The following is a 15,610-nucleotide window of genomic DNA, read 5'->3' as shown; positions in this document are numbered from 1 at the left end:
TTCTTTTGTGGTTAAGTGATTTTTCTCTGGTAGTATGTTTTAATTTCTTGCTTTTTAGTTTAACTATTACAGGTTTTTGGATTGTCATTACCATGAGGCTTACAAAAGATACCTTAAATTTATAACAAGTTATTTTGAACTGATGACAAATTAACTTTGATTGCAAAGAAAGAAACAAAGAAAATTGTAAAGAACTTTAAACTTTAATCCTCCCACATTTTGACTTTTATTTTCAGTTTACATTGTTGATATTGTTCAGGGTCCACTTCTAATTCTACTTCTCTTGCCATTTCTACCACATCTGTGGTGACTTCCTTCACTGAAGTCTTGAACCCCTTAAAGTCATCTATGAAGATTGGAATCAACTGCCAATCTTCTGTGAATGTTGATATTTGACCTCATCCCATGAATCATGAATATTCATAATGGCATCTAGAATAATGAGTCATTTCTAGAAGGTTATCAGTTTACTTTGTTCAGATCCATCAGAGGAATCACTATCTAGAGCAAATATCCATAGCCTTACAAAAAATGCATTTCCTAAATAGTAAGACTTGAGAGGTGAAATTACTCCTTGATTCTTGGGCTGCACAATGGATATTGTTTTAGTAGGCATGAAAACAACATTGATATCCTTCATCAGAGCTCTGGGGCGACCAGGTGTGTTGTCAGTGAGCAATAATATTTTGAAAGGAATCTCTTTGTAAGTGGTACATCTCAACAGTGTGCTTAAAATATTTAGTAAACCGTGTTGTAAACAGACATGCTATTATTCAGGCTTTCTTGTTCCATTTCTGGAGCACAGGTAGAGTAGATTTAGCATAATTCCTAAGGGCCCTAGAATTTTTGGAATGGTAAATGAGCATTGGCTTCAACTTAGAGTCACTACTAGCCTCTAACAAGATACTCATTCTGTCTTTTGAGGCTTTGTAGCCAGACACTGGCTTTTACTGTCTAATTGTGAAAGTAGTAGATGGCATCTTTTCTCCATATAAGGCTGTTTTGTCTACAGTGAAAAATCTGTTTAGTGTAGCCATCATTATCAGTGATCTAGACTAAATCTGGATGACTTGCCGTATAGCTTCTACATCAGGACTTGCTGCTTCACCTTGTACTTCTGTGTTATGGAGACAGCTTCTTTCCTCAAACCTCCAATGTCTGCTAGCTTCAAACTCTTCTTCTGCAGTTTCCTTACCTCTATCAGCCTTTATAGAATTGAAGCTAGTCCGGGCCTTGCTCTGGAATAGGCTTTGGACAAAGGGAATGTTGTGTCTGGTGTGATTTTCTGTCCTTTACCACTAATACTTTCTCCATATCACCATAAGTGTTCTTCACATTTATCATTCATCTGTTCTGGAGCAGCACTTTTAATTTCCCTGAAGAACCTTTTTTTTTATTTTTTGCATTCTCATATTGGATAATTGTTTAGTGCAAGAGACCAAGCTTTAAGTCTGTCTTGGCTTTTGATACATTTTCCTGGCTAAGCTTAGTCATTTTTAGCTTTTGATTGAAAATGAAAGATATGTGGCTCTTCCTTTTGCTTGAACGCTTAAGAGTTCATTGTAGGGTTACTAACTGTTCTAACTTCAATGTTGTTATGTGTGAGTTAATAGAGAGGCCCTACTAGAGGGAGAGAGACGGAGGAATGGTCAGTTGTGGAGCTGTCAGAATATACAAAACAATTTATCAATTAATTTTGTCATCTTAAATGAGGATTGTTTTGTAGTGCACCAAAACAATAATATCAAAGATCACTGATCACCATAGTAGATATAGTAATAATGAAAAAGTCTGAAATATTCTGAAAATTATTAAAATGTGACTATGCACATGACATGGGCACATGTTGTTGGAAAAAATATGCTGGTAAGAGTTTCTGGACACAGCGTTGCTAGAAAACTTCAGTTTGTTAAAAAAAACACAGTGTGATGTGTCATAGTCAAGCACAGTGGAATTGAAACAAGGTATTCCTGTATTCTGTTTTATTGTTTTAATGACTTTCTAGCTATTCCTTGTTCCTATAACCATTATTATTTTAGTGGTTGCTCTAGGAATTAGTGTCCTCTTTAAGTTGTCATCATATGCCTAGAGGGCAGTACTTTATCACCTCATATGAAATATGAAGAACCTTGCTGTAGCATAATTTTAATTAGCCCCCATCCTTTGTTCTTTTTCATTATATATTTTACATCTGCATGCATAATTTACTCCACAGTGCTATGCAAATTGTTGCATTAAACACCCTTTCTTAAATAAAGAACAGAAAAAAAATCTTTTACACTCATACATTTACTTAGTGTTTTCAGTACCCTTCATTCTTTTTTGTAGGTACAAATTTCAGTTTTGTTGTCATTTTTCTTTATTTTGAAGAACTTTCTTTAGGATTCTGTGTATTGCCAATTTTCTTTTCTTTTTTCTTTTTTTTTCTTTTTTTATTTTTTTTGGAGATGGATTCTCGCTCTGTCGCGCAGGCTGGAGTGCAGTGGCACGATTTTGGCTCACTGTAACCTCCGCCTCCCGGGTTCAAGCAATTCTCTGCCTCAGCCTCCCAAGTAGCTGGGATTACAGGTGCCCACCAGCATGCCTGGCTAATTTTTGTATTTTTAGTAGAGACGGGGTTTCACCATTTTGGCCAGGCTGGTCCTGAACTCCTGATCTTGTGATCCACCCGCCTCAGCCTCCCAAAGTGTTGGGATTACAGGCGTGAGCCACTGTGCCTGGCCTATTGCCAATTTTCTTGTGACAAATTATCTGAGCTTTTTATTCTCTGAAAATATTTTCATTTACTGCCAAGTTTGAAGGATATTTCATTGATGTAGAATTGCTGTATTTTTTTCTTTTAGTACTTTAAAAATTGTTTTATTTTCCTTTTGCCTCTGTTGTTTCTAATTAGAAGTCAACTTCCACTGTATAATTGATCCCCTCTATGTAATGCATCTTTTTACATAGTCTTGTACTTTTACAGTATTCAGTTATTTGGCTTTTTGTTTAAAATAGATAACATCCGAAGTCTATTACCTTTTCATAGCCCACTCTTCCTGCTTTGCTTAGTTTAAATTTTATTTACAGTCATAGTTATTAATCCCTCTACAACATCCTGTACTTCTTTACCTCTTTAACTTTATTTGCTTATTGACACCACAACACTGGTTAAATCCAACATAACTGCTTCTACATTCCTATTTTTAAGCAGGTGAATGTGGTTGATGAAAAAAAAGAAACCTACACTGGTCTCATTTTAAATTCATGAGCACTCATCTCATTTGTGCCCTTATTCTTGCCTTGCAATCATTAAATTTTTCCTGTTATGTTACCTGGCCCACTCTTCTGACCAACTCTTTTATACTTCCTTCACTTTCATTTAATATATTTTTTCACATCTTTTCTCTTAGCTCATGACCATAGTTCTCCACTGAAAAATTGAGGAAATTGAAAGAGATGTTTCATAATATCCTGTTACCACGTACATTCATAACCTGTATCTATGCATGTATATTTTATATTTTCTTCTGTTACTGTGGATGAAATATCCATGTATCTAGCTAAAGCAAGTCCTTTATGTGAGCATTGTAACCAACTCCTTCTAGACAATTTCATTTTATTGCTTTGGCAATTTTACACTTTCTTTCTGTACCATCACATTTTCACTCTTTATATGATCATTCTTATTATCATACACCTTTGTCATTATCTCTCTCATCTTAAAAAGAAGATGAAAGAAGTCATTGATCTTACATTCCATTTTAGGCAGTACTCTTTACTCCTGCTTATTTTTTTTACAGCAAAACTTTATAAGAGGGTTGACTGTTGGCTGTCTACATTTTCTCTCTGCTCTTTCTTTCTTGAACTCCTCCAATAAACTTTTACAAGTCAAAGAGAATAATCCCCATTGTTATGGTCAATTCTTAGATTCCTTATTTTTGTTTTACATCTATATGAAATGCTTGACACAGTTTATCCTCTTTTCCTCTCTTCTCCCCTCCCCTCTCTTTTTTTCTTTTCTTTTCTTTTTGAGACGGAATCTCACTCTGGCGCCCAACCTGGAGTACAGTGGCACGATCTCAGCTCACTTCAACCTCCGCCTCCTGGGCTCAAGCGATTATCTCGCCTTACCTTCCTAGTAGCTGGGATTACAGGCACCTGCCACCATGCCCAGCTAATTTTTCTATTTTTAGTAGAGACGGGGTTTCACCATGTTGGCCAGGCTGGTCTCGAACTCCTGACTTCAGGTGATCCGCCCGCCTTGGCCTACCAAAGTGCTGCGATTACAAGCACTGCACCTGGCCGTCATTTTCTTTTTTAAAACACTTCTTTACTTGGCTTGTTAGAACACCAAAGTTTGTTGATTTTTTTTCCTACGTTTTTGGCCTTTCTCAGTCTTTTTGCTGTGTAAGTAAATCTTCTGAGTATCTGTCCTTAGATCTCTTCTTTTTTCACTCTACCCTCATTCTCTTGATTATTCCCATCCATGTTCATGGTTTTAAGTGTCATCTCCATGTCAGTGACTTTAAAATGCGTATTTCTGTGTAGTCTTCCTTTCTGAACTCTTGTCCATCATATTCAAAAGCATACTAATGGCCATTTTTATATTTAATGGGATCTCACACTTAATTTTGCCAAAAACACCCTCATAATATTTTGCCTCCCCGACTCCCCGCCCCCCCCGCCCGGCAAATGCTGCATCTCTTAATTTTTTTCTCCATCTTGTTTAGTGGTAACTCCACTATTCCAGTTGTCAGGCCAACGATGTTAGTGTAGTTCTATGTTCTCTTTATTTCACGGCCATGTCTGATTTATCAGCAAATTCTTTTGGCATTGTCTTTACAAAACCCGTCTTACCAGAAAACATTCTATAAAACACTTTGTACCACACCACCATTGTCACCACCCTGCTCCCTGACTATATTATATTTCACTTGTCTTATTAACTGGTCCTTTTTTCTGATTTTGGCTCTGCCTTTATTCTATTTTTATACAACAACACAGTGGTTGTGTTATATTTTAGGTTAGAGAGTGTTACTCTTCTGTTTAAACCTTCCAATATAACTTCTGACTTGCTTCAGAGTGAAAGCTAAAACCTTTGTACTATAACAGAAGATTTGCCCTCCATTGCTGCTGACCATATCTTTTGCTCAGTTTGTCTTTGGTTTAGTTCCAGTCATCATGGCTTCTTTGCTATCATCAAATACTGTGAGCATGTTCCTATTCCTACAGTTTCAAACATGCTGTATAATACTTTATTTTATTTGCAGTCTAAGATCCATTGGAAAATAGGTGCCCAAATATAGAACTTTTTTCTTTTTGTTGTAAGCACTGAGTATGTAGCAAATTGTCCTAGCACATAGTAGGCACTCAAGATTCAGTTTTCCTTTTCATAAGTGAGTTCCTCTCCCACCTGTTTTTCTTAAACTTGTTTTCAGATCCGTGATTCTAACTGCAACTATGAGGCCTTTATGAACATTATTAAATTGAGTGACAATATTGGAGAGCTAGAAGCAGTCAGAGATAAGGCAGCAGAAGAATTACAGTATCTTAGATCTCTAGATACAGCTGGTGATGGTAAGTAATGTATTTAATTTAAGATATATTTTTTTGAAGTATTATTTTATCTTCAAAACTTTGATTAATTTACCTAAATGTCATTTTCTGATATTAATGTTTTCACCTTAATTAAATCTTCCTTATTAGGTTAACATGTGCTTAGTTAAAGTAAAAGCATTATTTTCAGAATGTGAGAATGTGATTATTGTAATTATCCCTAAAGTGGAGGTAATTGGCATGGTTTACTTTTAATTAAATAATTTCACTGTATAATTTCAGATGGTTTCTTTTATTGACTAAAACAGTTGCTGTATTATTGGTTATTTTGTTAAATTACAGTAAGTGCATGTTTAAAGTATTTCATAAATAACACTACCACTTTCTAGTTCATGATTTCTTTGCTTTTAGATATCAACACTATCAAAAATCAAATAAATAGCTTACTATTCGTAAAGAAGGTATGTGACTCAAGAATACAGCGATTGCAGTCAGGCAAAGTAAGTAAAGTAGTTTTGAATTAACGTTTAGTTATAAATACTATACTATAGGGATTAAAAATGCACAGTAAAGGACAAAAAGCAGGACGTTTACCAGTGCAGCACTTTACAAGAGGACTTTAAAAAGAGTTTTCTCTTCTACAATGTGATATAAATATTTGTTAAAACATGCCAAAAAGGTTAACTAAAATGCTTCCTGAAAAATGTTAAAGTAATTGAAGATTTTATTTTATTCCTTGATTTATTTATACATTTACTTGTGTATCATTTGTTTATTCAAAACTTACATTTATTCAGTTTTGTGAGTTGGGTACTTTTTAGAAGAGCCAAGCAGACAGACTCTTTTCGTGGAGTTTACATTTTAGTTGCAGAGTCAGGAAATAAACCAATAAGCAAATTGACGCGTAATATCAGGTGGTGATATCTACTGCAAAAAACAGTAATAAAGCAAAGTAGCGTATAGAGAATGTCTTGGACTGGTTTAGATAGGTTCCAAGAGGTTCGATGACACTTGATCATAGTGAGATCTAAATAACATGAGGCAGTTAGTCCTGTGATGTATTTTTGTTTGCCTTTGAAGTATCTATCTTAGAGGCAGTCATGAGAGCAAATGCAGGGGCACTAAAGTAAGAATGTCCTTGGTGAATTGGAGGAGGTTGTTGTGGTTGGTATGGAATGAATGAGCTATTGTGCTAGGAATGAAGTCATAGAAGAACCGGGGGGTTAGATCTTATATGGTCATATATGGTCTTAGTGGCCATAGTAAGAATTTTATTTTATTCTAATTATGATGAAAATCAATTGGAGATTTGCCCTGACAAGTGACATTACCTGACTTACAAGCTAAAAGTTAAAATTATTATCTTTACTCTTTGTGGAGAATAGACACAAAGTGTGAGATGATGGGGGTAAGAATGGAAACTGAGAGATTATTTGCAATACTCCTGATTTAAAACTAGATAAGAGATGTCTATGGAGGTTGTGAGAAGCGATTAGAGACTGGATATAGTGCTAATAGGATTTTCTTAATGGAGTGAATATGGGGTGAGAAAGAAAAAATAACTCAAGGATAATTTCAGGGTATTTTGGTTTGAGCAACTGTATAAATAGTGGTGCTGTTTACTGAATTGGGTAACACTGAGAGAGGAGGAAGTTTAGAAAAGAGAATTGAGTTTTGGGTATTTTAATTTGAGATCCCTGTTTGACATTCAAGTAGACATGCCAATTGGCAATCTTGAGTTCTAAGGAAAAGTTAGTGATGGAGATGAATTTTGTAAATCCTCAGAATTATCAGATGTTTAATGTTGAGAGCCTGGATGATGTTATCTAAAAGAGTGTGTGTAAGTAGGAATGCACTGGTGACTTGGTCCTACTACACTTCAATGAACAGAGTTTAAGACAAAGTAAAGAGTCTAGCCAAAGAAACAGAGTAAATAGCCAGTGAGATTGCAGGAAAACCTGAGCATGTGATATTGAAGCAGGGTACTTCCCTGACCCCTTCGCAGGACTTGCAACAGGGGTGTCTTGTTTACTGCTCAGCCTGCTGTTCTCAACTCTTTGTGGTGGGGAGCGCGTGAGCAAGCCAGTGGGAACTTGAGTGAAGGAGTGCTGGAACCAGCCTGCCACTTCGGCACTGGCGGGATCAAACTCCACTCACTCGGACCCACTGTATTCCACCCCTCGCGAGAGGGAGCACCCAGGTGAGTGGGTGGAGGAACTGGCCGATGCATTAGCACTGGCAAGAGCAAACTCTGTTCAGGCCCTACAGCTGTCCAGTCAGAGGTGCCTGTGACTCCCAAAGCCCTAGAAGGTGTGTTACAGCGCTCTCTTAGCTCTGCTGTCTGTGGATGGCTTAAGGGTTAACAGCTCAGTGGACCATTTGCCTTTTTGCATGAGGCGGCTGCCCTTCATCAGTGAGGGCACAGGGCCAGTGTGAAAGCCTTTTGTGTGCACACTCGTGGCTTCTGAGCTCTTACTCGGCGTCCAGGAAAAATGAAGTCACATGAATGAGTTGAAAGATGGTAAATGCTGGAGACTTTATGGCCGATGAAAGTGGTTCTCAGTGGGAAGGGGAGCTGAAAAGGGGAATGGGGCGGGTAGGTAATCTTCCCCTGAAGTCCGGCTGTCTCCATTTGGATTCTTTCCGAAGTTATGCCATCAAGCTGTCCCTCTGAAGTTGAGCCGCTTCTCTCCAATGTCCAGCCGTAGTCCCGGCTACCAGCTGAGTCTCGGTTTTTTATAGGCACAGGATGGGGTGGTGTGCGGCCATGGGTGGTTTAGGAAAAGGCAACATTCGAGCAGGAAAACAGGGATATAAATTCTCATTTAGGACTGTGGGCTCAGGCTTTTTGGCTTGAGGGGGTGGTGTTTCGCCAGGGACCACCCTTTTCTGCCTAGAATTTTGTGCCCCCTGTCCCTAATAATATCTCAGAAGCCAAATGTTAAAAGTGTTTATAAAAGGGAAAGAAGAGGTGTATCAAAGGATAACGTGGAGAAAGATGAAGACTGAGAATTGACCATTGGACTTCCTACCTTCTGGATTATTGGTGATCTGATGAGAGCATTTTTTGTGGAGTAGTGGAGAAAAATCTTAATTGGAGTTTGTCCATGAGAGAATGGGAAGAGGTAAATTAGAAACAGTAACGATAGTTGCTCTTTAGAGAAGTTTTGCCCTAAAGGAGAGCAGAGATTTGGGGCTTTAAAGCAGGAAAAAGCATTTCTTAAATACCCTTAGGTTTTTAATGAGGTCACATTTTTGCTGTGGTTTTGTTTTGAAAATTTATTTGTGAGTCTCTGGTCTTATAATTTTACAGTGTATTTAAACTCCTTAAGGAATAGAAGAATTATTTTTAAAAACCGTGGTGGCATATGCCTGTAATCCGAGCTACTCGGGAGACTGAGGCAGGAGAATCACTTGAACCTGGGAGGCAGAGGTTGCGGTGAGCTGAGATGGCACCATTGCACTCCAGCCTGGGCAACAAGAGCGACACTCCGTCTCAAAAAAACAAACAAACAAACAAAAAAACCCTTAAATTTAGTTTTCTAGGTGAATTATAACTTAAGAAACATTACTTGAGGCCCATATTTGTTACGTGTGTGTGTGTGTGTGTGCACCTTTGTTTTGGTTAACTTTATTTTAAAACTAGTTTATATACTCGTGCAAATGAGCGTAGAAGAAAGATACGGTTTCACTTGTGCTTTTCTTTAACTACTTCCTTATCTAGATCTCAGAGGTAGTGATCTTTCAGCGTCATTACTCAGTGTATTTACCCAGGCACTTTTTGATATTGAATCCTTTTAAAATTTAGATATTTTGTTTGCAAGCCTGTCAATTCCATTTTGAATACAAGCTTTATTTTTTAATGAGCTCAGATCATACAGTGTTTTCCTTTGTAAGTAAACTCAGAATCCCCACGGATTTGCAGTTATATAGCCATGTTACTTATCTTGAAATCTTAGAAACCTTTATCCTCAGCGAATTTTCCTTCCATCCTGTATCTGTGGAGCCGCTGCTGGGCAGGAGAAAGAGGTGATACAATTTGAAGAAGGGAGACTTAGTAGGAATCATGTGCTGCCTCTAGATTGCTCTCTACCAGACATCTAAAGTCAGTTAGCTGTTATTATTCAGTACTTACATGAAGGAAAATACAAATTATAGAGATGGATTTGTTTTTTTTTTTAATTCTCTACATTTTCCTTTATTTACCACCTATGCTTAATTTAGTATCTGCCTCTGAATATGGCAGCCTACTTCATTTACAGTAAACCTGCCTATCTTTCTTTTTTAAATAGAGGGTTCTGAAATATGAATTTGGGAATATAGAGAAGCCAGTGAAAATAAATAATTCATGGAAACATCATGGCTCTTATTGGAAAGGGCAGCAGCATTTGAAAACATGTAGTCATACTTACCGGCTTTGTGACTTAATAGGCAACCTTTTTCATCTTCGTTTTCCTTGTCTGTTAAGTAGACGTGGTGATACATATCCAACAGGATTGCTGTGCGGATTAAATGAAGTAATATCTGTAATGTAACTAGCCCAAAGCCTGATACGTAGATGCTCTTTAAATTTTGGACGCAATTTTTCCCTTTTTTTTTTTCATATGTAGGTTGTTTCCTTGCTCTGTGACTTTGAAAAGTATGTCTGAAATTCACTGTTTAGAGAGTCTGGAAAAAAAACACATTTTATCTAATAATTAGAGATTTTACTGAGTTAGGAGCAAAATTACTCTTTAGGCATATTTTGTTTTCCTAGTAGTAAATAGACTTTATACATGAAAATGTTGAGTTTTTAAAATTCTTGCGTATATTAACCATTTCCTTCACCCTTTTAGCCTTTGGAATGTTCATTTTCATTTGGAATATATAGAGATAGAGAATAATTGAAAATATAGTGATTTCTATTTATTTTATATTGAAACAGTTGAATGCTATTATTTTTAATGTGTTAATATTTTTAATTTGCTAAGCAACTCTTAACTAGGAATTTAAATTCACACAATGTATATCTATTGGGAAACAACATGCATGAGAAGGGAAAAACTTCATCTTTACTCCGTTTTAGCTTGATTTTTTTCCTTATATTTATGTACACATCTTTAACAATGAATGATTAGATAAAATATTAACTTATATTCACTTTTGCCTGTAGGAAATAAATACTGTGAAACTTGCAGCAAACTTTGGGAAACTTTGCACAGTCCCCCTGGACAGCATTCTTGTAGACAATGTTGCACTACAATTTTTTATGGGTAGGTAGATCAATTCTATTTAAATGATACAGCCATTGAATTTCTTTTTCGATTTTTTATTGTAAAATACACATAAAATTTAGTATCTCAACTATTTTTAAGTGTATAGTTCAGTGATATTAAATGTATTCATGATGTTGTACAGAGTCTCCAGAACTGTTTTTATCTTCCAAAACTGAAACTCTACTCATTAAACACCAACTCTCTCCATTCCTCACACTCTCAACCCCTGCAACCATCATTCTGCTTTCTGTCTCTATAATTTTGACTACTCTTAAGTACCTCACGTAGGTGGAATTGTACAGTATTTGCCTTTTTGTGACTGGCTTACTCACTTAACGTGGATATGCCCTCAGGTTTTATCCGTGTTATAGCATATGTGAGAATTTCCTTCCTTTTTAATGCTGAATAATATTCGTGTGTGTGTGTGTGTGTGTGTGTACACACACGCACACACTTGCTTCTCCCCTTACCTCTTCTCCCCTCCCTCCACTTTTCCTAATTTCTCTGCCTAGTACTTCCAGTACTATGTTGAAACGAAGTGGCAAACACAGGCATCTTTGTCTTGTTCCTGATCTTAATCTTTTTGTTCCTGATCTTAATCTTTGTCTTGTTCCTGATCTTAAAGAAAAGTATTTTGTCTTTCATCATTGAGTATATTATTCACTGTGGGATTTTTCAGATACAGCTTTTATTATTTTGAGATAGTAGCCTTCTGTTCCTAGTTTATTGAGTGTTTTTGTCATGAAAATGTGTTGAATTTTGTGATATGCTTTTTGTGCATCAATTAAGATGTGGTGTTTATCCTTCATTCTGTTGTGCTGTATTAGACTGATTTTTTTTTTTTTGTATGTTCAACCATCTTTGGATTCCAGGAATAAATGCCACCTTAGTCATGGTGTATAATTTCTTTAATATGCTGCTGAATTTGTTTTGCTAGTATTTTATGGAGGATTTTTACATCTATATTTATAAGGAACATTGGTCTGTAGTTTTCTTGTACTATCTTTATCTGGTTCTGTTTTCAGGATAATGCTGGCCTCATAGAATGAGTTAGGAAGTGTTTCCTGTTTAATTTTTTGGAAAAATTTAAAAAGGATTGGTGTTACTTTTCTTTAAATGTTTGATAGAATTCACCAGTAAAGCTATTCAGGTCCAGGTCTTTTCTTTATTGACGATTTTTGGTTACTGATTCATTCTCCTTACTACGTTATCAGTCTCCTCAGATTTTCAATTCCTTCATGATTTAGTTTTGGTGGATTTTCTGTTTCTAGGAATTTTTCCATTTCCACTAGGATATCCGATTTATTGGCATACAATTGTTCATAGTACTTTTAGTTTTGTAGAGTCATTAGTAATATCCCCACTTTCACTTCCGATTTTAGTAATTTGAGTCTTTTCTCTTTTTGTCCTCCTGGATAAATGTTTGTTAATTTTGTCACTCTTTTCAAAGAATCAACTATTGCTTTCATTGACTTTTACTATTGTTTTTCTGTTCTCTCTTTTGTTTATCTCTGCTCTAATCTTTACTGTTTCCTTCCTTCTGCTAGCTTTGGGTTTAATTTGTTCTTTTTCTATTTCTTTATGTTGTAAAGTTAAAAAGCTTTACAACATAAGGAAAGATGATTTGAGATTTTCCTTTTTGCTGTGTCCCATTAGTTTGGTGTGTTATGTTTGTTTTAATTAATATTTATGTATTTTCTAATTTCTCTTGTGATTTCTTCTTTGATCCATTGGTTGTGTGAGTGTGTTTTCATGTTTTCAGAGGATAAGTAGGGTAAATAAAAAGTGTGTTGTTTGATTTCCAAAAATATATGAGTTTTCCAGTTTTAATTTTGTTATTGTTTTATAATTTTATCCCATTGTAGTTGGAGAAGATACTTTGCATGATACCCATTTTTAAAAACTTTATGAGACTCAATTTGTGGCCCACTGTATGGTCTGTTCAGAAAATATTCCATGTGTACCTGAGAAGAAGCTGTATGCTGTTGTTGGGAAGTGTTCTGTATGCTTGTTAAATCTACCTGGTATATTGTGTTAAGTCCTCTATTTCCATACTTATCTTCTGTCTGGGTCTATCCGTTACTGAGAGTGGGGCATCGAAATCTCCAACTATTATTGTGGCACTGTCTCTTTTTCCCTTCAAATCTGTCTGTTTTTGCTTCATATATTTTGGTGATCTGTTAATAGGTATGTAACTGTTTATAATTGTTGTATTATTTTGTTATGCTGAATCTTTTATTAATATATAATGACCTTATTTACATCTTAACCATTTTTGATTTAAAGTCTATTTCAGCTGATACTAGTGTAGCCTCCCCTGCTCTATTTTGGTTACTGTTTGCATGTGATGTGATTTTTCATTCTTTCACTTTCAATTTATTTATGTCTTTGTATCTAAAGTCTTTGTAGACAGTATATCATTGGATTGATTTTTTTAATCCATTCTGCCAGTCTCTGTCTTTTGATTAGAAAGTTTGATCAATTTACATGTAAAGTAATTATTTATAAGGAAAGAGTTCTGTCATCTTGTTATTTGTTTTCTACATGCTTTATGTCTTTTTTGATAGTCTTTTCTACATAACTGACTTCTTTTGTATTTAGTTGATTTTTTTGTAGTGACATGTTTAAATTTCTTTCTCATTCCTCTTATGTATATTATGTAGCCATTTTCTTTGTGGTTACTATGGGGATTACATGTAACATCCTAAATTTATAACACTGTAATTTGAAATTATGCCAGCTTAATTTCAAATGTATTCAAAACTTTGCTCCTTTACAGCTCTGTCACCATCCCTCTTTTGATGACGTCACAAAACTAAGTCTTTACAAATTGTGTGTTCAAAATATGAACTAATAGTTCTTTTAAATGAGTTACTTTTGTAAATTATGTAGAAACCAGGATGTGCAGTAACAAAGTACAATATTTCTGGCTTTCAGACTGATAGTTGATTTTTTTTAAAATCGTATTCGTCTTTCCAGTCCCATAGAAAACAAAAAAATAGAGTTACAAATCATTGTTAATAATACTAGCTTTTATAATTGCCCATATTTTTATTTTTACTGAGATATTTATTTCTTCATATGATTTCAAAGTACTAAGTTACTATCTAGTGTCCTTTTGTTTAATTTACCCTTCAGCACATTTTGCAAGGCAGGTCTTATGGTAAGATGCTTCCTTTGCTTTTGTTTATCTGGGAATCCTTACTTCTCTCTCATTTTGAAGTATAGTTTTGCCAGATATAGGAACTTGGTTGACAGTATTTTTCTTTTAGCACTTTGAATATCACTCCATCACCTTCTAGCCTCCAAAGTTTCTTGAAAGAAATCTGCTGATAATCTTTTGGATATTTTGTATGTGTTGTTTTTCTCTTTCTGCTTTTGGATGATTTATTTTTTGAAAGTTGAATTATAATGTGTCTCCATGTGGGTATCTTTGAATTCATCTTAGTTGGAGATTGTTGAGCTTTTTGGGTGTTTATATTCGTGCCTTTCTTCAAATTTGGAAAATTTTCAGTCATTTCTTCAAATATGATCTGCCTGTTTCTCTCTTCTCCTTATAGAACTCCCATATGTAACTTGGTCCAGCAGGTCCCTTAGGCTCTGTTTACTCTTCTTTGTATTTTTACATTCTGTTTCTTGAATCTAAAACTTTTATTAATCTATCCTTACATTTGCTGATTCCTCTGCCTGCTCAAATCTACCTTAAATTTCCTTTAGTGCATTTTTTATTTTGGTTATATACTTTTCACCTCCATTTTATTTTGGTTTCTTCTAGGTTTTCTGTCTCTATTGATCTTTCCATTTTGTTCATAGATTGTTTTATTGACTTTTTTACATCTTTCTTTAGTCTTTTGGGCATCTTTAAGGTAGTTGTTTTAAAGTCTTCATCTAGTAGATATTCCATCAGGTCTTTTTTGGGGACAGTTTCTGTTCATGTATGTTGGCTTTTTTTCCTCTTTGAATGGGCCACACTTGCCATGTACTTTGTATGCCTTGGGGTGTGTGTGCGTGTGTGTGTGTGTGTGTGTGTGTGTGTGTATGAATAACTGGCTGTTTGAATCTAATAATGTAGTAACTCTGGAAATCACTTCCCTTTCCTTAGGGTTTGCTGTTCTTTATTGTTGTTACTGTTTTTGTTTTTAATATGTAGGCTGTTTATGCTAAGGATCAGCCTGAGGTATAAACTTAAAAGTCTTCTCAAGACTATTCTGAACTTGTGCTTTTCCCTGGGCATGCATAGTCACTTTCTAATTTTCCCACATATGTGGTTGCTTTTGAATGTCCTCATTTTTAATGCATGGCTCCCAAAGGGAGATAAAGGTAAAACTGTAGGAGTCAAGGGAGAAAGGGTGCCAGTCTTCTAAATCTCTTGCTTGTTACTTCAGCAGAAAGGAAAGGGGCTTGGACCAATCAAGAGATATGCAACAACAAAGGCTGCCTATTTGTCTGCACCTCTTTGATCAGAAGCAGCAGTGTGCTGTCAGAGCCTAGATCCGAATATTTGAAGGACAAGTTGTTTTTTGTCCACCCTGGTTCCTACTTGCTGTGTACAAGCTAATTCTGGAGTGCATGCACAGCTACTTGTTCTAGTAGTCTGAGAGTGGGGAATGGTAGCTGCAGTTGTGCTAAGAGCTGGAATGGACTGAGATTAACCAAAGCTTACTTCCCAAGCCTTCCCTTAAATGTTGCAAATCTTCATTAGATTCCAGAGTTCCAAATTAGTTACATCAGATTCTGCCATTGCACTTGTTGTGGAGGTGGAGAGATAGAATTCTGGTGCTTCACACTCCCACATCTTCTTTGAAATTTTTAAGAAT

General features: G+C 35.7%; 1 protein-coding gene across 15 annotated transcripts in view; it reads left to right on the top strand.

The window, feature by feature from the left end:
• The window catches only part of SNX13 (sorting nexin 13), a 149,734-nt gene that overhangs the window by 84,110 nt on the left and 50,014 nt on the right, over positions 1-15,610 (top strand). For all 15 annotated transcript variants that reach the window (NR_146932.2, NR_146933.2, NM_001350863.2 and 12 more), the window contains 3 exons: positions 5,421-5,559; positions 5,950-6,038; positions 10,691-10,790. Coding sequence is in view for 13 of the 15 variants with exons in the window: in NM_001350863.2 (NP_001337792.1) it covers positions 5,421-5,559; positions 5,950-6,038; positions 10,691-10,790 (328 nt within the window). In the remaining 2 variants the exon portion in view is untranslated. The remainder of the gene's footprint in view (positions 1-5,420; positions 5,560-5,949; positions 6,039-10,690; positions 10,791-15,610) is intronic.

The sequence above is a fragment of the Homo sapiens genome, chromosome 7, assembly GCF_000001405.40.
Source record: "Homo sapiens chromosome 7, GRCh38.p14 Primary Assembly".
Taxonomy (NCBI): Eukaryota; Metazoa; Chordata; class Mammalia; order Primates; family Hominidae; genus Homo; species Homo sapiens.
This window is presented reverse-complemented; position numbering and strand designations above follow the sequence as displayed.